Source organism: Homo sapiens, chromosome 3, assembly GCF_000001405.40.
Source record: "Homo sapiens chromosome 3, GRCh38.p14 Primary Assembly".
In the NCBI taxonomy this organism is placed as follows: domain Eukaryota; kingdom Metazoa; phylum Chordata; class Mammalia; order Primates; family Hominidae; genus Homo; species Homo sapiens.
The window spans coordinates 163,261,973-163,287,993 of NC_000003.12; the positions used below are offsets into that span (position 1 = coordinate 163,261,973).

At 32.5% G+C, this 26,021-nt stretch overlaps 1 long non-coding RNA gene across 1 annotated transcript in view; it reads right to left on the reverse strand.

Moving 5' to 3' along the window:
* LINC01192 (long intergenic non-protein coding RNA 1192) overlaps positions 1-26,021 on the reverse strand; it is a 126,059-nt gene that overhangs the window by 84,730 nt on the left and 15,308 nt on the right. Inside the window, exon 2 of the long non-coding RNA NR_033945.1 lies at positions 16,538-16,631. This is a non-coding gene — a long non-coding RNA (long intergenic non-protein coding RNA 1192). The remainder of the gene's footprint in view (positions 1-16,537; positions 16,632-26,021) is intronic.

The window sequence follows — 26,021 nt, forward strand, 5'->3', positions numbered from 1 at the left end:
AATAATTAACTTATATCTGTATTTATTATTATATCATTAGAAGCACAATTGCTGCATCATATAGTAACACTATATTTAACTTTGTCAGAAACTGCGAAATTGTCTTTCAAAGTGGCTGTACCATTACTTTGCATTCCCACCAGAAATAAATGAGAGTTCATGTTGCTATGCATCCCTTCTGGTAGCAGGCATTGACAAATTTACTTTTTTTAATTTTTAGATTTTAGTCATTCTAATGGATATCTCAGTTTTGTATTCATTTACATTTCTCTAATGACAAATGCTATTGAACACATTTTCATATGCTTTTTGCCATGAGTGTATCATCTTTGGTGATGTGTCTGTTAAGACTTCGCCATTTTTTATTTTGGTTTTTGTTTATCTGTTTTGAAGTATAAGAGCAATTTTTATATGCTGGACGTAAGTCCTTTATACAAATGTGATTTGCAAATACTGTATCACTGGCGAGGAAAAATATTTTCATTCTCTTATATTTTTCATAGAGCAAATTTTTTGATTTTAATAAAGTACTACTTATTTTTGGTGTATATTTGACCTTTTGATATTGTATCTAAAACTCATCGCCAAACCCATGATTGCACAGATTTTCTTTTATAATTTGTTCTAGAAGGTTTATAGTTTTATACCTTACATTTCAATCTGTGATACTTTTAGGTAAGGTGTAAAGTCTATGTCTAGATGCATTGTTTGTATACAGAAATCCAAATTTTTCAGCCACATTGGGTGAAAAGACTATCATTTATCCATTGATTTACTATTGTACCGTTATCAAATATCAGTTGAATATGCCCCTATGGGTAAAGTCCTGGACTTTATATTCTCCATTGATCTACGTGTCTATTCTGTAATCAATTTCATGATGTCTTAATTACTATAGTATTAGACTATTTGTCAAAATTGGATCTTCTGAGTCTTCCAACTTCATTTCTCTTTTTCAGCATCTTGTTGGCTTTTCTTCGTGTTTTCTTTTTCTTATTTATTTTAGATTCAATTCTTTAATATCTTCAAAATATGTTGTTGGGATTTTAATTATAATTGTACTGAATCTATAGATCAAGTGACAAAGAATGAACAGCCAAAATACTGAGTCTTTCCATACATGAATATGTATATTTCTTTATTTAGTTCTTATTTATTACTTTCATAAATGTTTTGTTGTTTGTCATAGGCATATTCTGTACATATTTCTTAGATCTATATCTACATACCTCATTTTATTTTAATCTGTTATAAACAATACATACATATAGATAGATAGATAGATTCAATCTTTAAACTTGATTGTGCATTGCCACTATATAAGAAAGCATTTGATTTTTTTCCTGCCAAATTCAATTTTGGGATTAGGGCACATATGTGCGGGTTTGTTATATATGTAAATTGCATATGTAGAGGTTTGGTGTACAAACTGTATTGTCACCCAAGGAATGAGCATAGTTCCTGATAGGTATTAGGTTTTTGCCATTACTTTCAATGGCAAAAACTGCAATTATTTTTGCACCAACCTAAAAGATTTTAGATCTATGTACTCCTCCCTGCTTCCACTCTGAAGTAGGCCCTTGTGTGTATTTTTCTTCTTTGTGTCCATGTGTACTTAATATTTACCTCCCACTAATAAGTGATAACATGTGGTATTTGGTTTTCTGTTCCTACATTAATTCACTTAGGAGAATGGCCTCTAACAACCTTGCATCCCAGGAGTAAAGCCGACTTGAATAGCGTGGATTAGCTTTTTGATGTGCTGCAGGGTTCAATTTGTTGGTATTTTTTTTTTTTTTTTTTTTTAGTATTTTTGCTATTCTATGTTCATCAGGCATATTGGCCCACAGCTTTCCTTTGTCGCTTTGTCTCTGTCAGATTTTAGTGTCAGAACGATGCTGTCCTTATAGAATGAGCTGGGGAGGAGTTTCTCCTTTTCAATTTTTTCTGCAAAATTTCATTATAATTGATACCAGCCCTTCCTTATATGTCTGGTAGAATTCAGCTGTGAAAAATATATGATCCAAGGGTTTTTCTGGTCGGTGGTTTTCTTAGTTCATTCTCACACTGCTAATAAAGACATATCCAAGTCCTGATTATTTTTAAAGGAAAGAGCTTTAATTGACTCACAATTCAGCATGGCTGGGCATGCCTTAGGAAACTTACAATCATGGCAGAAGGGGCAGCAAACATGTCCTTCTTTACATGGCAGCAGGAAGGAGAAGAATGACAGTTGAGTGTAGAAGGAAGCCCCTCATAAAACCATCACATCTCTTGAGAACTTACTATCATGAGAACAGAATGGGGAAAAACACCTCCACGATTCAATTACCTCCTACCTGGTCTCTCCCACTACACATAGAGATTATGGAAACTACAGTTTAACATGAGATTTGGGTGTGGACACAGCCAAACCATAGCATTCTACCCCTGGCCCTTACCAAATCTCATATCCTCACATATCAAAACACAATCATGATTTTCCAATAGTTCCCAAAGTCCTGGCTCATTCAATGAGGAGATTTCTTTTTTTTTGGTTCTATTCTCTAGGAGGACCTGCCATTAGCAATGGGAAATACCTTCCCCTATTTCTTGTCTGCACATTGACAGTAGGATTATTTTTAATATGGTCCAGTAAAATACTTTTAAAAAAATCCAGGCTTATAGTATCTTTCAAAAATTATATAGGCTTCTAATCTATTTGCTCCTAGTTAGTTCCAAGAGAAAAAGAATCCAAAGTTAATTTTTGAAGATGCAATTTCAAATACACTTTATTTCTTTGTTTTATAGCCTCCGTATCTCTCTCTTGTAATTTAATGGAAGCTACCAAAAAATGATTTGAAAAACTAAGGACACACCCTTAGTTTTATTTTCACATTAAGTAATTTTGCACAAGATGAGATTTTACTGTACAATAATACTCAATGCCTCTTACAGTCTCATCTTTTACTGTTTTTATTTAGTTCGGATGAAACTATCTTTCCAATCATGCAAATCTGTAAAATATGAAATTTATGTATTCCCATCATTTCTACTTGCATGTGGGTCAATTATTCTATGATCTCATTTTGTCATAATAACTTACTGAAATCGATCAGTATTGACCAAAATATACTTGCCAGTCTGTCTACCAACTCTTCATTTTAGCTACATGGTGAATAATTTGCCAAATACTGTGGTACTACATGATAAAGATTATCATCTTTCCTCCTTCCACATCGCCATCCTGTTTGACACCTGACTATATATATAATGTCAAGTATTATGTTTCTCTTATGCTGGCACTCCATTTCTGTACCAGAAATATACTATTTTCGATCATTTCTATATGGAATAGCATTGGATAGACTGTGCTGTGGTCTCAATGAACTCCCAAATCTTAGGGGCTGAACATATAGTTTTGCAATACAGTGTGATAGCAGTCAAGAGTCCAGCCTCAGACCATTTTTGTAGCTATGATATGTGGAATATATATGTACCCTTCAGAGTAACCATAAGAAAACATAGAGGCAGAACATCATATTGTAACTATTTTGGCACTATATTTTAGAGTCTATTAGCTAACACAGTCATGGGCCCCAACTATCATGGAAGCTGAAAAAATGTAGGAGAAAATAAGTACTTGTAGTTTCTAACTCACTATCATCATTTTGTCTTGACTATTTTTTTATTTTTTTGGTAAAAGTGTATGGGGGTAAAAGCATAATTTTGTTACATGCATGGTTTGTAGAGTGGTAAAGTCAGGGCTTTTAATGTATCCATCCCCCAAATAATATACATTGTACCCATTAAGTAATTTCTCATCATCTACTCTCCTCCCACCTCTTCACCCTTCCAAGTCTCCACTATCTGTCTTTCGACACTCTATGTCCATGTTTACATATTATTTAGCTCCCACTTATAAGTGAGAACATGCAATATTTGTCTTTTTGTGTCTGACTTGTTGCCACTTAAGATAATGGTATCCAGTTCCATCCACGCTACTGCAATAGACATGACTTCATTATTTTTTATGGTTGAATAGTATTCCATTGTATTTATGTGTGCCACATTTTTTTATACATTGATCCATTGATGGAAACTGAGGTTGATTCCGTATATTTGTTATTGTGAATAGTGCTGTGATAAACATAGGAGTGTAGGTATCTTTTTGATGAATTGCTTTATTATCTTTTGGATAGAAACTCATTAGTAAGATTGCTGGAATGAATGGTAGTTCTATTTTAGGTTCCTTGATAAATCCCCATATTATTTTCCATAATGACTGTACTAATTTACATTTCCACCAAGAGTATATAAGAGTTCCCTTTTCTTTGCATCTTTGGCAACATTCATTATTTTCAATAAGAGCTATTCTAACTAGTATAAGATGATATTTCATTCTGGTTTTAATTTGCATTTCTTTTATGATTATGATGTTGAACTTTTTTATATATTTGTTGGTCATTTTTAATGACTTCTTTTGAAAAATGTCAATCTATAGTCCTTTCTCCCTTTTTAATGAGTTATTTTATTTTGTTGTTGTTGAGTTATTTGAGTTCCTTCTGTATTCTGGATATAGACCCTTGTCAGATCCATAGATTTCAGATATTTTCTCCAGATTTTCAGGTTGTCTCTTCACTCTGTTGATTATTTCTTTGGCTGTGTAGAAATATTTTAGTTTAATTATGTCCCATTTGTCTATTTTTTTGTTGTTGTTGTCTGTCCTTTTGAAGTCTTAATTGTAAATTCTTTTCTTAGACCAATGTCAAGAAGAGTTTTCCCTAGTTTTTATTTTTTCTAGTATTTTTATAGTTTAAGATCTTACATTTAAGCCTTTAATCTGTGTTGAGTTCATTTTTGTATGTGGTGAGAGTTAAGGGTTCAGGCATTTGGCAATTCAACTGTCCTTGCATCATTTATTGAAAAGAGTGTTCTTTCCCCAGTGTATGTTCTTGTCAACTTTGTCAAAGGTCAGTTTCCTGCAAGGTTACAGCTTTATTTCTTGGTTCCCTATTCTGTATCAGTATTTTCAGTAAATGGTAACTTATTAATTTTCTGTATGGAAATATAACACATCTTGAACACTTTCTTACATCTAACACTAAGTTAAATTTAGATGAGTTGAGCCTCTAATCTTGAAAGGTAAATCAGTAATACTTCTCCAGGATTACATAGGGGAATATATTCATAGTTTCTGAGAGGAAAGATATCTTAAACACAAAACATCCACACAGCACAGGCACACGCACACCCCCACACATAAATGTTAATTTGGACTCCATTAAAATCAAGAACTTATGTTTATCCTAAGACACTATTAAGAGGTTTATTTCCATATTAAGATACAGTAATCTTATTCCACCCTGTCTCTCCGGCTCAGTGCAGCTTTAAAACTCGGACACAATGAATGGGCTATTTGATATCTCTTGAAAAGTAAATTGCCAGTAGGTGAATTTAGACAAAAGACTTGAATTCAAAGTATCTGTGAGCCAGCATTGAGTTTATTTCTTTTTTCCCCTCTGTAATCACCAGTAACAGACTCATCACAGCCTAAAACCTGAAGAAGGATGTCAGTGTAGACAGAAAATGCTCCAGGAGAAGTTCTCTGCTCTGATACAAGAATCAATAAAGGAGTCTCCAAATACTCAGATAAATTGGAAGACCCATTTCTTGAGGAAAATTCTCTATTTCTAATTTTCACTCTCTTCTCTCTCTCCTTTTCTCTCTTTTTTCTTCTCTCTTCTCTCTGTCTCTTCTGTCTTCTTGCATGTTCTATATTCTTTAATGCCTCAGTCCAAGTAGGCCATAGGCATCTATTATAAAACTGCACAAGTGAAATTGTCCTCTTTGATCAGACAAACTATAGTACAAAGAGAGTGGGACAAATTTCTTGTGCCTTTTATCTTGGTATGTCCTCCCACTACTTGGTCCTGTATATGCTAAGGGAAATGCCCCCACAGTGTAGTATAAGTAAAGCTGAAGCTCTGTGGTGGGAAGGCAGGAAGGAGAGAAAACTAAGTAAATTTAATGTACTAGGGAGATCATTGAAAGGGAGGAGCTCAAGGAAGTGGCTGCATAAACTTAATACTAAACTCCTGAGCTTATGATGAAGGAGCATATGTTTAGACATGACCCTAACAACGTATCATAGATTGTGAGAACTGAACTATGGATAGTTTACTCATGACCTAAGTTAATCAGCATACAATAAATTCCCATCAATTATGATGACATATGTAAGTTAAAATTAACATGATAGAAAAAAGGATGCACCATATAAAGACTAATCAAGGGAAGGTGTAGTGGCTATATTAACATAGAGTAGACTTAAGAATAAGGAAAATTACCAACATTATAGAGTAACATTACATAATGATAAATGTATCTATTTACCTAGCAGATACAAAATTTACCTAGCAATTTAAAATGTGTATTCACCTAATGGCAGAGGTCAAAATTAATAAAGTAAAAATAGAATTGACTGGAGAAGTAGAATAATCTACAAGTTGAGATGCACGTTTCAACATTCTGCTCTAAATTCAGTCGGATTAATAACTAGAAAATCTGAAAGGATATAGAACTAAATACCACCACCAAACAGGATCTAATAAATTTTCATAGAGCACTATGCAAAAACAGCAGAAAACTTTACAAGCACCCAGAGATCACTCATCAAAGCAGACCGTACCTAGGGTCATAAAATACACTTTTAAAAATTTTAAAACATTTGAAATCATAAAGACAGGTCATTTGACCATAATGGAATTAAACTAAAAATCAATAACATAAAGATAACAGAGAAATCCTAAAAACAAGGAAAACAATAACAACAAAGCAACAACCTTCTAAATAACCCACAGATATATAAATAAGTCTTGAGACAAATTAGAAGGCATTTGAACTAAATAAAAATGAAAATATTGCATATCTACATCTGTGGGATACAGCTAAAGCAGCCTTAGAAGGAAATTTATTGCATTAAATGCTTAGATTAGAAAAATATATATATTAGAGAACTAATCTGAGCTCCCATCTCAAGAAATTATAAAGGAAAGAATAAAATAAACCCAGATGAAGCAAAGGGATATATTAAAGATCAGAAAAAATTAAATAAGAAGTAGAAAATTAAGCCAAACGCTGGCTTTATAAAAAGATGAATAAAATTGTTAAATCTCTAGCTATACCGACAAAATATAAAGAAGAGACAAATTACTGAGATATACCAAACATACCTATTGAAGTGGCGAAAAAAAAATTGCTGGTAATTCAAAGTGCTAGTGAGAGTAAAGGGCAACTGGAATTCTCCTGTATAGTGGTGATGCCACTTTAGAAAAGTATTTGGCAGTTTCTAATAAAGTTCAATAAATGCATCATATAATCTAGTGATTTGACCTAATGATCTAGGTATTTACCCGAGTAATGAAAATTTGGTTCACATAACAATCTGTTAAAGAATGTTTATAGCAGATTATATTCATAATCACACAAACTTAGAAACAATCCAAATGTTTTTCAATAGGACAATGCATCAACAAAATGTGACACTACTCAGCAATAAAAAGAAATAAACTACTGATTCAACAATGTGAATGAATCTCAAATCTCAAATTATGTTTAGTGAAGGAAGCCAATGTCAAAAGGTTACATACTGTACTGTTCTGTTCACAAGATTTTCTGAAAGAGGAAAATTGTAGTGATGCAGAAACAGTCGATGTTTTTAACAGGTTAACTACAGGAAAAATTGTGACTAGAAAAAAAGCAAGGCCAGCACGGTAGCTCACGCCTGTAATCCCAGCGCTTTGGCAGCCTGAGGCCGGCAGATCACCTGAGGTCGGGATTTTGAGATCAGCCTGACCAACATGGAGAAACCCCGTCTCTACAAAAAATACAAAAAATTAGCCAGGTGTGGTGGGCTGTAATCCCAGCTACTCAGAAGGCTGAGGCAGGAGAATCTCTTGAACCTGGGAGGTGGAGGTTGCGGTGAGCCGAGATCGCGCCATTGCCCTCCAGCCTGGCAAGGAGAAGGAAACTCCGTCTCAAAAAAAAAAAAAAAAAAAAAAAAGTAAAAAAGAAAAAGGAGTTGTTTGGGGTGATGAAACTTTTCTGTATGTTGGTTGTGCAGGCTATTACTATTACACAGATATAAACATTTGTTAAAGTTCATAAACTGTGCACCAAAAGTATGTCTATATTATTCTATGTAAATTTTAAAAATTTGATAAAGGTACTATGAAGAAAAGGAACAGGCAACCACAGCATAGTAATTTGTAACACATACAGAGAAGCACAGTTTTATATCTACAAAACAGGGAAAAAGAGTAAAGCAAATCATTGAATTAGTTAAATATGATCTTTGAAAAATAAGATACATTCATTATTTTTATTTTTATGGTTATTTCTTCTCTCCTCACAACAGAATTTTAGGCTCATGGTAATGATGTCTATGTCTAATTTATCTGTAAACCTGACCAAATTTTCTAGAAAAGTGACTAAATTACTGGTACAAACTACGAAGCATTTAAACTTTTTAAACCAATGAATGGATTTAGCGAGTTATGTGTAGCTCTATGTTCTCCCTAAGCTCTCTGTACCCCCACACACTGAAGCAATGCAGTGGAAATTGCACATTTATGAAAATATGATGCCCCTTAAAATTCATTATTTATCTTACAGCTCTGGCCTTAACCATAAGAGAGCACAGAATCATTAAATAGACATACAAACAACAAATACTCAAAATAAAAAAATACCAGTGTTAGCTTTTGTATGACTGTCATTCCCCAAGTAAAACCTTATTAGAAGCAAAGGTCTTGCACTGCATGATACGCTGTTATCCTCAAGCTCCCCATCCTGCAGATGGGCTAGTGTTACAGTAAAATCTAGAGTTGGGAAGAACAGGTTTTTTGTTTGTCTGTTTTAAGTTATACATGCTAGAAATAATTCATTTCTTGGAATTGAACTCCTATGTAAATACTTTCCAACTGTGAGTGTATATTAGAAACCCAAAGAATCTCTAAAGATTCTGATTTGAGGCTGTGAGGTGCATCCCAGGACATTTCAATCAAGTTCTCATTTTCATGCAGATGATTTCTGAAATATGCTTTCAAAACCCTCATTCTGTTTTGGTATCTATAAAATAATTTAGAAATGGTTATAAAACCTAAGTCTGGTACTCTCAGTTTTACTTCTGGAATTTCCCAGAGTTGTCCTTGCTTTGGGCTTATCTTCCTATCCCCTAGCAACCAATAGATGATAGCAAGATCTATCAAATATACCTATAAATTGTCTAGGATGTTCAATATAACAAATAACTGAAAACATTCTGACTGAGACTGGGACTACATTCAACATAAAAATGCTTCTCCTGAATTGCATGATGGAGAAATGTTTCTGAGAAGTCTTATAAAGGTCATTTTTTAAATGCCACAATACCACATATCTCTTAGATGTGGATGGTTTTTCTCACAAGCATTACGTGTAAATTAAGTCTGATACTGAAAAAGATCCTATAGGAAACGTCTATTTTATTCATGTGTTCCTTTATATTTGAATTATTTTTACTCGGTTTCTACGAAAATTCATTTTACAGATTTTCTACTTGCATAGAATGTATGGAAATTAATTATGAATACACTATGTCTTAGAATAGATTTTTAAATTTTTAATAAAAGGAATAATTTCAAAGCTTGTATTGAAACAATTGACATTAACTTTTGGGGAAAAAAGGGTAGAGGACTATGAATATCTTTCTCTCTGAGGATAAAGCTTAATATTTTCTGTAATAAATTAGTAAGTACTTAGTAATTACTTTCACTTAAAGCAATACTTATCACTTCAAGCAATACTTATCACTTCATTCTAATGATGTTGCAGCTTTATTTTAGGGATGACAGTATGTACTATCACCATTTTAGTGAGAAATCCACATATATTTACATCAAGTATTTGTTACAGAAGCCAAATAGGAGAGAAAAAAAGAAAAAGCAAGATGCATTGAATTGTTTAAATGTGCTCTTCTTAGATTTATTTCAAGTAAACCTGTTGGCTTTTTTGGCTTCCACTTTGCTAAATATTATTTAAAAATTTATTTAAACACTGGTTTAAAAATGTAGATTTACATTAAATGTTAGTTAATGTTAGTTGGCTCTGATGATTTTAGAAATCATTTTGTTCTTTGTGTATTCAAATAATGATACATTCACAAATTTGGAAACTCAGCCACTTTTCCTTTTGTCCCACATGTAAATAAAACAATATTTACAGTCAATTTGGCTCACTTATTTACCTCCTTAGTTTTGCTACATGACTGTCATGACTGTGAAATCAAGTTTCTACATTTAGTATTTTATGGTTAATTTTGCAACTTTCACTTAATTTATAATCTTTTCACTGTTTTTAAAGTTTTTTTTTCCAAATTCCAGATTCAGGTATACTCAATAAAAGTATACCTACATTATTTTAACAAAATTGGTTATTTATTGTCCCATTAATCTTTGAAGTTTTTAATAATTTTAGATTAATTACATAACAAAAGGGTGAATCCCAACAAATATTTAATATGTAATATATAACAGCTACAATATTTCCTTTTTTAAAATAAAATCTTTAGTTTATGTGAAATTAAAATTTAGAGCTTGAATGTATTGTGGTATAACATTTCAAAATGATAACATGACAAGAGAATATTTTATCTATTACTTCCTAGTACATGATTTTTAAATACCATTTATTTTGATAAACTCCAAAAACAATTAGCTGAGGTTCCTGAAGCTGAACCAGAAGCAGTCATCTTTTCATATTTTAGTGTACAAGCACAGCATAATAAGTTTTGAACACTGAATGACAACTGATATTAAAAACTTCCAAAAATGTAATGTTAGAGATAAAATAATTGTTGACTTGGTAGCTGATGTCCAAACAATTCATTTAAGGGAAAATATAAAGGAAGAGTACAAATTGATCATGAAAGGAAAGAATTTTTATTTCAAGAAGTAAAGTTTTAAAAATAATTATTCATCTTAAAATTATGAACTTTCATTTGCTGAAGTGATATATAGTTTTTTTGAATGAGGTCTGACTTGAAGAGAAATAGGAGGAAGAAGGAAATTTGTGTAGTCCATTCAGTTGCTAAATAATCATTGTGTTTCCCAGTGTAGATTCTAAAACTTGGAGAATTAACTCTCGGAAAACATGTCATGATCTCACTTAATATTCTCACAAAATTAATATAAATATTAAATTTGTTTTATCAAACCTACAAAGGATTTTTTTTTAAGAATAAAACAGGGTATCCTTGAGGTCAGATTACTAACAAAATGTTTTAACTTGTAGGTTTAAAATATATATTCCCAGTGGATCTTACAAATCACATGTAGGAAAGAGTTATGATTTATTTAGTACCCAGATGTTTTAATAAAACATGTTTGTTTAAACATTAACCCTCTCTTTCTCACCTTCTCTCCCTCATTCCTTTTGTAAGCCATATAATGTACTCTTGAATTAGGTATAATCTAGTTTATAGAGAAATCTCAAAGATAGCATATATTTAAAATGTTATTTGTATTTCCAATCTAGTTGTTCTATATCATATTCTCATTCCTTAAATTATTATCTGGACAAATTCCATAACTTTTGGGTCACTTTTGCTTATGAAAACTAAAGTCTAATACACAACTTTGTCTCAAACTCAATTTAGATTTCATATAGTCTCACTCCCTCAAAGGCAGGCTTGAACCCATGCCCTTAGTTTAATAGTAATAGTGGTTGGGGAGATAAAAGGGTAAGACTTTAGGACACTCAAACCCTTCCCTTTTGAATACCAATCTATTTTGATATTGAAGGTAAGGAGTGGAAGGCAACATACATAGTTAATAGAAAGCGTCACTAATCATGGAAACAAGGTATCTCAGTTCCAGCTCAGCTCAGATGTCCATCTGATGCCATCTGCTGCTGGTACTCTATACTGATCTGGAAAATATGTTCACTTCACAGGAGCCATAAACACTAGAAAATTCTTTTGCAGTCTCCAACTAAACTAAAATGGAGAGAGTTCTATGGTCTTCTTATTGTTTATATGATTGTAGGTATGTCTCTCATCTTCAGTAATTTTTACATCAGAATCGGCCCTCAGTCTCTATGTTCATGTATATTCCCAAACATTAAGAGAAACTCCCTGTAGATCTCTGAGAATAATCCTACCAAATTCCTTTTTCTTAGAAGTTCTAGAGTGGGTCTTCATACGTAGCATCTCATAAAGCCACAAGCTAGATTTGACACAGGGCAATTCTTTTGATACTGAGTTAGGTATTCCTTCTGTCTTCTTCATGGGGAGAAGAAAAATAATATTTGGACAGTTCATAGCACCATTACCCTCCTCTACTTTTTAAGGATTGAATTAGAAGTAAAGGGTTGATGACTAGGGATTATTTAAATGTCATAGAGATATTGTGGTAGCTCTATTTAACATGTTAAGATCTTTGAACATCATGTATTTCCTATGTTGGAACTTAACATCATAACATCATGTTATTACATAAACTATTATCTTACACAAATCAACATGTGCCTTCATAACAATATGTAACAATCAATAAAAATATCTGAACTTGTGACCAAATAAGTCAATAGAGTAAACACTGAGCAACAGTATGATTTTTTCTTCAGTAAATGTCATCATAGAAAATTTGAGACTTCTTTTAAGACTGCAACTCAAAGAAAAATTTATCGCCTGACATGAATACAAAAATAATGATGAAAAATGTTTTATGCTACTACTTTATAAAATAAGAAGTGAAGTCACAGTAATATAAAATAGTATATATGTGAATTATATATCATTATATTTAAATATAGGAAAGATTTATATGAAAGTCTTGAGTATTTTTAAAATTTTTTTCAGTTTTTAGTTTTTACTATTTTTTTTTTACAGATGGGGTCTTACTTCATTTCCCAGGCTGGAGTATAGTGGCATGATTCTGGCTCACTGCAGCCTCAAACTCCTGGGTTCAAGCAAACCTCCTACCTCTCTGCCTCCCAAAGTACTGGGACAGGCATGAGCTACCATGCCTGTTTCTATTTCAGAGATTTAATGAAATATAATTTAATTAAACTTAGTTTAAAACCAAAAATGCTAAATATATGCCAAACAGTATGTTATTAGTATAACAAGATAAACACAATATATCTTACAATCTATGAATTCCATCTAGTGAAAGGACCAAAGATGCTAATACTAATCATACCTCAGATTAATAATTTATATTAAAAATATGAAGTTGTGAGATCTGTATCTCTGGAGGTGAGCCATATTTATCATTGCTGTCATTCATTTCAAAGACGGGAATGTCAGAATGTCTTGTGCGGGGTCTAGGAACAAGGAAAAAAGGAGAGGATGGGCACTTTGTCCAAAATATATTATTGTTTGTCTTCTCCACATTTAACACTACCATTTCCTAAAAAATGAGGTTATATAAATGTTCAGTACTCATACATTGTTTATGTTGGCTAGGTGCAATTTGCATTCTAGTTTGAAAGATATTAAAGTGTGCAACCTGGAGTAAAATAAGAATTCGTGAAAAAAAGAGGGAGGTAGGTATGTTAAGCAGGTGTGCAGCAGATAAAAATACATAGAACCAGAAAAGTGTTGAACATTAGAGATACAGCTAACAAATCTGCCTCCTTATCATATTTATGTTTCTGCTTCAGCCTTACCCTAGCAGAAAGTTGTGATATAAGATATACAAAATTTCAATAAAGGTAATTCTTTATTTCATGAATGTACTATGCAGAATAATGTAAGAATATCTATGGAAGTCTCCTTCCATAGATAAGCAAAAAGTTTGTATCTTTACTTTGTGTGTTTGTTTTTGATCTCAGAGAAAGAGATGTTGGCAGAATGGGGACAGGAGGAAGAAGGAGAGAATACAAATGTGAAGAGAAAGAAGGGTCAGGACACTACCTACCAACTCCTATGTTGTTAAGTAAAAACTGAATAATAATTGAAGGAAATAGTAATAATAGTAAAAATAAGAAAAACAACTCTAATAGTGTCTGCATTTGGGAACTTACGTATTAGATGTTTTCAGTAGATGACCTCACTCTATAAAGCATAAACAACTCTTCAACACTCTATAGTAGATAATAATAGTATATGCACTTTGTAATAAATTTAGATTTAGAGAAGTTACTATCTTCTTTTAATGTTCCATACTTAACACATGGTGGAAATAGGAAAAGGACCAAGGAAGAAAATAAATACTCTGAACCATCCTCGCTGCAACTTGGTTCTTCATGGGTAAAAATAAGATTGTGCTTTGTTTTATTGGTCAGTTTTCTTTTTCTGGAAATGAAACTTGAGGTTTGTAATTTATCTCCTTTTGTTCTCTCTTAATTTTATTCACATTCATTCTCATCACTTCACTGAATCTGATTCCATCAAATGTTACCAATTATATACATCGTCCTAAATGTGATGGTCTATTTGCATGCTGGTTTTAATTGATTTATCAGAAGCATTTAATACAGATCTCTTCTCCTTGATACACTTACTTCAACTGACTTACAGCACTGAGAACACTTTTGAATTTTCTCTCATATCATGGGAGTTTCTTCTCATCTTTGATGTTACATGTTTCCCTTCTCTCTTACTTTTAAAATTGAAGGGGCCCAATGTCAAGTTCTTGAGGATCTTATCCATCCTCATGGCTTAAATACCACCCATAAATTTACAACTCTCAAATTAATATCGCCAACAAAGCCTTCTTAAATGAATTCCTGACCCTTACACACAAAACCTATATCCATCGCCATTTGGTTTTCTCTTAGATACATGCAATTTAACATGTTCAAATACGAACTCAGGATTATTAAATCTCATCTACCTGCAGCCTTCACTGTCTCAGCTGATGGCAGATTTTTTTTCTTTTTTTAGTTTTTTAGTACAAGAAAAATCTTTATTTCATCCTAGAATGTTTTAAAACAAACAAACAAAACACCAAACAGTCAGCGAAATGAGTAAAATTGCTAACCAAACCATCATAAAATCATGCTAGCTCTACATTAAAATATATCAAATTTCAAGCACTTCTCTCCGTCTCCTGAAACCACTGGTCTGAGCCATCATCTCTCACTTGGATTTCCATGATAGTCACATAAGAGTTTTCTCTGCTAATATCCAAGGACTTAGACCTCTCAAAACAAGCTGCCAAAGTAAGCCTTTTAGAAGATAAGTCAGAGCTATCTCTCTTCTAAGAACTCTGCATGGCTACTCTTTACATTCAGTATAAAAGCCAAGATACCCATAATGCTGATAAGTAGGGTGACCATATAAGTTATGATTCAATCCAGATTAGTGAGTGAAATTGTTTATAGTACTAATGACAGAACAATATACCTAAAAATAAATTGGCATGAACAAGTAGGATATTTCATCACCCTACTGTCAAGGTGCCTTATTATTTTCCCCCGTTACCTTTCTGACCACTGTTGCCATCATTATCCTCTCCTGTACTGAATCTGTTCTCATTAAAATGGCTTACTTGTTCTTCCTCAAACCCACCATGCAGCCAGGCACACACCTACACCGCAGAGCCTGCACAACCACTGTTTTCTTTATACTTAGAATCTTCTCATCCCAGGAATTCACAAGGATTACTACCTCACGTCCTTAAAGTCTTTGCCTAGACCTGGGCTCTCCTATGATTCCTACCCTGAATATCTCATTTCATACTGAAATCTATCCCTCAACATTACTATATGGCTGGGAAATTTAAACGGGATCAATTATAAACCTAACAAAATACCCAGTATATAATAAACAAACACTAGCTACCACCACAAGCAGCAATATTATAACTGGATATTCACTTACCAAATAAATGTATTTTGAAAATAATTAAAGTATGATAGATATATTTCAAGATTAACTACTATATATTTACCAAATTATTATCAGGCTATTAATGCTCAACATTCCAAGAGATGAATTTAGATACATTTTCTAACCCCTTGGATTTAGGGGTATAAGTCATTTCTACAATATGAACAGTAATAGATAAAAGTGCCTTAAATGTTAGAATGATGACAATCCTAACTCTGACATATATCTAGATACATGATTTGTAAAACATATATTCTTTTAAAAGTAAACTAAGAGGTTTAAAAATATTTTCTCAAGCAACCATATTTTTGTACTATATTCTTTTAAAATGTACATTGCATTTTCATGTCATAAAACTGACTGAATTTTATCAATCTGTATTTTTGAAACCAATCCAAATATATGCATTCAATTTGCCAAATAATACCTACCACATAAAAGACATCCTCATTATTTATAATTTAAAATTAATTCAAGTTCATAAAAATAATAACATATAAGTGAATATGTTAACAAATTCAGGATTTTTCTCTAGGGAAATATGCTAAAACTTAGAATAAGTATTTTAAAAAGTCTTTTCTTTTTAAAATAACAAATGAAATTGATTTTAAAATAGATATTTACAAAATTGATTGTATATTTAATGTATGCAGTATGTATTAGTATGAAATGACAAACCTGTAGTCTTTGAGATTTCAATGAGCAAAAGGGAATATTAACCAATGATGTATTTTCAAATAAGTAGTTCACTCAGCAGATATTTGCACAAAACCTGTAATATCAAAACAAAGTAATAGGCATTTATATTCCAAATAAAAAATAATTTATTTGCTTAAATTCTACATTTACAACAAAGTTTAGCCAACGAGTTAACTTAATATCTTCTATTCAAGTCTAATATTTCCATGCAATGTTTGCCCTATGTAAGGGGAAGCTCATATTTAGGTGTTTTGTTTCATGATATTTAAGCCTCTTTAATCTACCTGCTTTCTAACTTTCTACATAATTTTCTTTGTACCATTCTCAAGAACTTCCTTATAAACTCTTACAATTTTTCAAGAAATTAAACCATAGTTTCCTAACAAAGAAAAAAATTTGAGAACAAGCATAACACAAGCAGCCCTTTCTGTTTATCTGAACATTACTCATGACCACAGGTGCATTTAAAGTTTTCAGTAAATAATTATCTAAAATATAAAAGTAATAACGAAATATAGATTTAATATTTGTATTCCATTAGACATTAAAGAATCTTTTTTGTTTCATTCCTTCAGTAAGAGATCTTGGGAATCATTTTGGCTATAATATTCTTTTACTGTACACTCTTAGACAAGTTATCTCAGTTTCCAAATAGAAGTGCAAAGACAATGAGTCCTCACCGGAGTTTTGTTAAAAAATAATGAGGTATAATATTTAATCATCAAATTTCTGAGAAAAATAATTATCATTGTTTACCATCTAGGTCCCATAGAACATTTTTGTTTAATGTAATGCTCTCATTTTAAGTCATTTATAAGTAATTTACAAATACAAGGAAAAGACAGTAAAATAAACTAGTAAATATTAATAAATTTTAAACATAGTAAAAGTCTTTCATGCAGTAAATTTTTGTGCACAAACACCATGGATGATAAAATAGTATTGTCACACACTCTTTTAACAAAATGGGATTATCCAGGTTCTTATTCCAAACTATTGTGTGAAGTCCTTTGACTAACTGGGTGAGAATACTGTATTTACACTTTGTCTTTGGAAATAACTTGTCATTGGTTCTTAAATTTGAGAATGTTCATTTCAGTCATCATAATCTGAAGACATATAGTCAATTTAATTAATATGATAAATTTTATTATATCTTTAAAGTCTAGAATGCTGCTATCTTGTTCTTTGCATTTATCTTCTAATTAAGTTAATCTTATAACTTTCTTTGCCATCATGAAAAACAAAAACCTCTAATTTTCAACTGTGTTAACTTAAAAGCAGACCACAAAGATGGTGTCTCGAGTATTTTGAATATCTTACTGAAAGATGATGCCATATTTTGGATAACACAATAACAAAAGAAAGAACAACAATTTATTCCATGATTGCATCTTGCTCCTTAGTGATTCCATCATTCCTTTTTTTCTTATTACAGTCTTTTTTAGCATAATTGAGAATAATCAATGAACCATCATGAGTCATGATAAGATAATTCTTAGGATGATAAAATAGAAAATGTTTTCAAAATATAGATAAAAATAAGATCCTGATCTCATAATTCATTTTGGATTTATAACAATTCAATGGATCCAAATGGTAATTGTAAAATAGAATAAATTATAATCTATTAAAATCAACAAAATTTAATTTTTTGTTGCTTGTAAGAACTCTAAGAAAGAATGAAAGTTATGAAATATAGATATTAAAAAAACTGCTCCAAAGAAGCAAAAAAAAGTCTAATTAATTATATAACAAGGGTGAATCCACTTGGTATATTACATATGCACAATAAAACAAAGCCTTATTTTCTCTTTTTACTATGCTACTCCTTGATTTATTGAACCATGCAGAAAGGGGTTGGGGTATAGAAAAACAGTAGAAAGAAAAAGAAGTAACATGATATCTGTATATTTAAATAGTATAAACAGTAAAATAATATAAATATAACACATAAAATTACTCTTTACCATTTGATATATACAGTACTATTTATATTTATATATACATAGGTAAATATGTATTATTATTCACTATTTTATAGGTATACATTTGTGTATATATATTATATATTTATACACACACATACCACTTCCATTTTTTAGTTTATGCCACAAAATGTACATATTCTCAACTGTCACTTTAAGATGTTAGGTTGGTTTTGCTGTAATATCTGCTATTTTACATACTAGTTTTGATATGCATTGATCTTTGAAAATAAAACAATTTATTAAGCTGACTTCACAGGATATAAAATGGATTAATGCAAGAGGAAACCACTGCCTGTACACTAACTAAAATCTCAAAATATAAATGGTAGCTTCAGTTTTCAGTAATCACTTTATGTGTTGATATTACTGATCCCAGCTGCCTATGACTTTGATTATGTCTATAAGCTATCTTCCAAAAATCAATTTCTAATAAAGCGAATTAAGACTCATTCATATTAGCTATGGAAGAAGAAAGAAATACCTGTTTTGCCTCCAGGAGTGGAGAAAGAAGTCATTCCACATTTATTTTCAATTACACAGTGTATTTATGGCTATGATATTCATGAAAACATTTTGATTTAGATTGGCATTGCCATCTCCCTTTTCTAACTACAAGTGAACCGTTAGAAGACCAAATTGAGGCTGAATCTGGAGGGCATGGTGCTAAGTAAAATAAGCCAGGCATAGAAAGACAAGTAGTGCATAACCTAACATATATGTGGAATCTAAATAAATCAAACTCATGGAAGCAGAAAGTATAATGGTGGTTACCAGAGCCATGAGTGCGTGACAGTGAGAGAAATAGAGAAGCAACAGCAAATCAACCCCAAAGCTAGCAGAAGATGATCAATAATTGAAATCAGAGGTTAACTGAAGAAAATCAAGACAAACAAAACATTCAAAATATTAACAAATCCAGGAGTTGGTTTTTTGAAATCTTAGTAAGATAGATAGGCCACTACTTAGACTAATAAAGAAGAAAAAAGAGAGGGTCCAAATAAGCACAATGAGAAATGACAAAGGAATCGTTACCACTGACCCGACAGAAATGTAAATAAGCATCAGAAACTACTTTGAATGCCTCTATGCCAACAAACTAGAAAACCTAGAAGAAATGGATGAATTCCTGGCCATAAACAATCTCCCAAGACCGAGCCAGGAAAAAAATGATTCTCTGAGCAGACCAAAAAGGAGCTCCAAAATTGAATCAGTAATAGTCTACCAACAAAATTTTATTTCAAGGTAATTTAAGGCATGTTTCATGTTTACTTTGTTTCCCTGATTAAGTCATGTACATCATCATATGACTTATAATCATATGATGGAGGATAAGTAATACATTTTTGCTGATTGTCAATAGTGCTTTTGGATAAACATTTAAATTAGACAGTGGTAAAAGTGGACCATTAAGTCTAAAATAAAATCAGCAAAGATAAATCTAAAATTTGTAACATTTTTATTTTATTTATTAGAGACAAGGTCTTCCTGTGTCACCCAGGCTGAAATGCAGTGGCAGGATCATAGCTTATTGCAGCCTCAAACTCCTGGGTTCAAGCAATCCTCTAACCTCAGCTTTCCAAGTAACCAGGGTTACAGATGTACACTACCATGATTGCAAAATTTAATTTTGTATTTTTTGTAGAGTCAGGGTCTGGCTATATTGCTCAGGCTGTCCTTGAATTCTTGGTCTTAAGCCATTCTTTTGCCTCGGCCTCTAAAACGCCCAGATTACAGGCATGAGTCCTCATGCTTAGCCTACTAGCCTAAAAAGGGCAACCAAAAAAAAAAAAAAAAAAAAAAAAACTGCTTGAGATGGAAATTCCATGAAAATGCCAATTTTAATCTATTCCTTTCACAAGAAATCTAGAATCCCAAAGATTCTCAGTGCAAATATCTACGTTACTTAAAACATATCCTAAAATAAATGGCATATTTTAATTAAGAAATGTTTGTCATGTAAACTTATTTCCAATATGTGTATGTCAGGTATGTTAAAAATAACACTGAATATATTTTTATTTGTTTGAGCATATGTGTGTGGAGGCACATGAATTGGTGAAGTCTTAGAGAAAAGCAACCTCACATTTTAACATTGAATAAATTCCCAAAATTTATTTTAATTTGATCATTTAGAACTCTGTACATATATTCCCTCAGAGTCTTTATTATGTCTAATGATTGCATTCAAGTTAATCCTTGATTTTTTAAAAACGTAATTGTTTGAAAACTCACTATCAATATATTCATGGAAATGTAGAGTATAAGCTTGATTTATGCATTGATTAATAATTCAGCTACTTGGTTAATATTTTTGAAACCTATTTATTTCAAGCACTATCTAGACAGATACAGTCAATGTTGTTAAAATTTGCCATTTAAAAGAAACTTTAAAATATCACATTAAATATTTTGCTTTGTGCTTTGACATAGCCTCAAATGGAGAATTGTTCTATTTTTTCCAATGTCATATCACAAATATTTTTTTTTCTAATCTGCTTTCCTTCACTTCCTTTTGCTAAAATATTTTGGAAACACCAAATTCCTTTTCATATATTTTACTAAAGCTTAGACCAAGCTTTATAAACTATGAACTGCTTATTTAAGAGGGAATGTGTAATTATAAATGTATTATAATTTATTAAGTGTTTTCTATGGGATAGACAACATTTGTTGGGGAAACCAGCCCCACACCAACCAGCGGGTATCCCAAGTCCAGCAGAGACAAAGGAGTTAGAAAGAGACAGAATAAGAGTTTAAAAGGTGGGTCCAGGGGACAGGAGAGTCAGAGGCTTGCTCATGGGCCAGAGCTCTTCCACTTCACCTAATTTATTGGTTTACAAGCTCTTTGTTCTTAGGGCAGATGGGAGAGGTAAGAAGGGATGGAGGAAAAGGATTAATCAATGAAGGAGAACTGGTGAGTCATTCAATAAGATGTATAGCAGTGGCAGTTTCTGTGAATTTCCTTGAGCAAAGGCATGTGTCTAAACTACTTAAAATCTTTAACTTATCAGGGCTGAAATGGGTGGGAGTGGGTTTCAGGAGAAGCCAAGATGTTTGATTATACTCCACTGCTTCAAGGGTGTGTTATCTCCCTGAGCAACCTGTGGAACGCCGCGGAGCTGTCATGCTCTCCAGGCATAAAGACATGAAGGCAATAAAGAGACTTTTCTCCTCAGAGGCCGCTCATGGCTCCCCATGGTTGTCTCACACAGGACAGACCAACTCATCTGGCTTCCCAGAAACTCTCTTTCCCACAACCATTCTAAGTGTTACTTATTTACTGAATCCTCAATCATAACCTTATGAACTAGATAATTTTCCTTGTTCAGGTGCAGCAACCAAGGCACAGAGATTTTCTCACCTGAAATCACAGAATTACAATAAGTTAATCGCAAAATTACAATAAGTTAAGTAAATATATTCAGAATCCTAGACAGGCCCTTTTGGAATGTCTTGTGAATCTACAGACCCCTTTCTTAACCACTATAACTATACCTTACTAATTTGCATACGCATATTGTAGAAAAACATACACCCCCCCACACACACAGTAAGAAAGAGAAAAACAGACTGAAAGAAAAATTAAAATATATGTAGAAGCTCTATTTCCTTGGTTTCACGTATTTGATTATTGTGACATTTCCTATGTAAGTGCATCCCATGTTCTCTAGAAGTGGATGCTAAGTCAGAGTTTCAGCTGTAAGACTTTATTAGTGATCAGCACTTATGAGTGGGGGACAAGGCTGAACAGAGAAAGAACATTGACTGTGGTATAGTTCTGACAATGGCTTTGCAAGAAGTGTCCCATTGCAAAAGTCCATCTAATTAATTTATTTGTTTCTTTCTGATACCAACTGTCACAGGTTGGATTCTGAAGAAAGAGATTCTGAAATAGTTCGGAGTGTGTATTAATTTGCTAGAGTTGCCACAACAAAATACTACAACATAGGTGGCTACCACAGCAGGCATTTCTTTTCTCACAGTTTGGCAAGCTAGAAGTCCAAAATCAAGGTGTCTGCCTGGTTGGTTTCACTGAGGCCCTCTATTTGACTTGTAATATGGCTGGCTTCACGTGGTCTTCCCTATGTTTGTATGTGTGTTCTAATCTCCTCTCTTTAAAAACACCCCAGGAATATTGTATTAGGGCTCATCATAATGACTTCGTTTATCTTTAATTACCTCTTTAAAGACTTTCTCAGAAATGGTTACATTTGAGGTGTGGCAAGGGGGATTTGAACTTTAAAATATGAACCTTGATGGGAAAACAAACTTAAGCCCCTAATAGAGTACAAGGCATTTACTAGAAATAAACACCTTTGAAAAGAAAGAAGCAGCAGTATTGGACACAGTGAAAAGTGGAACTTTGTCGTAGGTCCAACAAAGCCTCAGCCAAGTCAGTTACGTGCCAACTTGGGAAGTGTGTGACTTCAGAAGAGGAACATCGTTCTAGAGTCAGCCCAGGATGACTCTAGAAAGGCTAACAGCTGGTGGGTCTCTGCTAAACACACTCCTTGTATTTGTGTATAATTTTTAAAACTTTGGTTCTCAGTGGCACTTGTCTGTGTCTACTACACTCCACTTTGTGGATGAAAATATATTCAAGTAAATAAATATGCTCTCGGTGCTTAATATGTTAAAAGTACTACATTTAGCCTTATAGAGAAATAAAATCATAGTTTTGCAATTATACTTGCCTTACATTTTCCCCCAAATCTCTAATGAATTCAGATATGTACAAATAACAGTACAAGGTAGAATGTATTAAGTGCCACAAGAGGAATATAAATAAATTTTTAAAGACTTGAGTAAATGAAAATAATTTTATTCCAATTTAGAAACTCTTTCTTAGAAACAATGAGATATGATCTAGTCTTCTGTAGTTATGACTATTTTGTATTATTTATTTTAACAAAGGTTAAAATAATTCAAATATAGAAAAGTACAAAAATGGTGTGATACATATTCATGTACACATTGACCCAGATTCAACCATTCAACCATTTTAACACACTGGCATAGTTGCTTCTAATTTCCCCCACCTCTCTATTGCTATCTCTGTGTGTGTGTGTGTGTGTGTGTGTGTGTGTGTGTGTGTGTGTGTGTGTGTGTGAGAGAGAGAGAGACTTTCATTCTTGCCTCGTTATTTAAAGTTTAACATGAGTCTCTACCATTTCAGGAATATCTCAATACATTTCTAACTTACCTACCTCAGTGTTACACTTTATTCCTAACAGAAAATTATGCTACAATGTATGCTCCATGATGAAAATAATATAATGTGATAAAGAGAAAATTAGATTGTCAAAATATATGGTAAAAGAATAAGTTGAAAACTACTGGCTTGGTGCAGCAGTGCATGCCTGTAATCCGAGCACTTGGAAGTCAAGGCAGGTTAATCGCTTGAGCTCAGGAGTTTGAGACCAGCCTGGGCAACATGGTGAAACCCTGTCTCGAGACAAAAAACACAAAAAAAATAGACAGGCATGGTGGCTTGCACCTGTTTCCCAGCTACTCTGGAGGCTGAGGGGCAAGGATTTCCTAAGCCCCAGAAGTCAAGGCCGGAATGAGCTTGGATCACAACACTGCACTGCAGTCTGGGCAACAAAGTGAGACACTGTCTCAAAAAAATAAAAAGAAAAAAAAGAAGAATAGAAAAGAAAAAAAAAGTGAGAAGGAAGGAAGGCATTGAGAAATTTCTGTGCCAAAATCTGAGAAAGGTGAAAAGCCTAGAAAAATGAAATCAGGTAGCAGCTTCTTTGACCTCCTAAGAACATTATTTTACTCTAAATACTAAGTAGAACTTACAACACAGTCACTGGTCTGGCAGAAGAAAAATCAGAGTTGAGTTCAACACAAGATGGAGGTGACCTGGCAAAAATCCAAGGTTTTGGGAAGGAGTCTCAAAATCTAAATCTCAGTGGTATAAATGAAATGAAAATAGAAAAAAGTCTCACAAGAATAAAGCCCAGATTTCATTGCTCTCAGATTGACTAAAGGTGATCTGAGATTGCTAGTGTCACCAGAATAGCAGCTGCCTGCCATGAGAGAAAAATGTACTAATTGAGAGGAAGATGTAAACTAGAGCCTCAAATCTTTTATCCAAACTTTTTTCTAAATACAGTCCGGCATACTCACAAAATAAATAGACATATAAGATAAGACAACATGTCAGAATGAGAAAAAATATTTTGGTGAAAAGAAACTCAATTGACTACCCATAAATCCATATTTTCAGTACACAAAATAATAGATTTTGAAAAAATTATGATAAATATCTTCAAAACTAACAAATAAAAAACAGAAAAATTTGTAAAAAAATATAAAGATGAAGCTATCAGTGCAAAACAATTAAAAATAAAACCTTAAGGGATTCCTTGAAGCATATTAATTACATATTTAAAATTAATAAGAGGAAATAAAAATTCATAAGGCAGAGAAGCAAATTTGAGACTAAAGGCATAGCACAAATACCATTAAAATACTAGAAATAAAAGAGAGAAAGAATAGAGCCCAGGCATTATTTTACTATATATTGCACAATAAATATAACATGCATATCTATGTATCCACAAACACACACACACATATATACATACCTGTATGTGTGTGTGTGTGTGTGTGTGTGTGTGTGTGTGTGTATATATATATATATATATATATATATATATACAGGTTTATACATCTGTATACATATGTATGTATACACACACACATATACATGTATGTATATTTATATACACATACAACTGTATGTTAAATCATGACATAGATATTATAGTGGATTATTTATTTTTACTTTCTTGATACATTATTTGATATAATAAAGTGAAAAATCACATAAAAAGAATATGATAGAGAAAATAAACAGTGAAAAGAAAATTTAAATATATAGTTACATCACAGACAGTTCAGAGAATACCAGAATAACTTATATCAATAGGGCCACCTGAAAAGTACAACTATAAAACTGTAGAAAAGGTAAGAAGTAATGTTTTCAGGAACTAAAAGTATCAAGCCATAAGATAATGCCAGTCTTCCTGGCTGCTCCCAGTTTGTCCTTTAGCTATTTACTGTACCAGCCCTAGCTCATGATTTTGCGGGGGAGGTATGAATATGGACATCTTGCAAAATACTATAGATAAGTTAATTTTGAAAGCCTTGGATGTATAATGTGCACAGTGGTGGTAAAATTATTTGCTAATGTATAATTGTGTTATCCTAAAATTTTGTTTGAAAAATCCTAATTTCTTGAACCATGAGACAATCTTTCTTCTGATGAAAGTTAACGTGGTACCTCTTTTTTAGTTGGTGCCTTATCAAGAATGGTAATATTTTTGTTTGATTTTAGGCTTTTCAATGAACAGCTGAAATTATGTTTTAATATAAATATAGGTATTAGACCATGTTTTCAGCAGTATAGTGAGGCCAAGTTTTGTCAAATAGTTAACATTGAACTGAATGTATGGATAAAA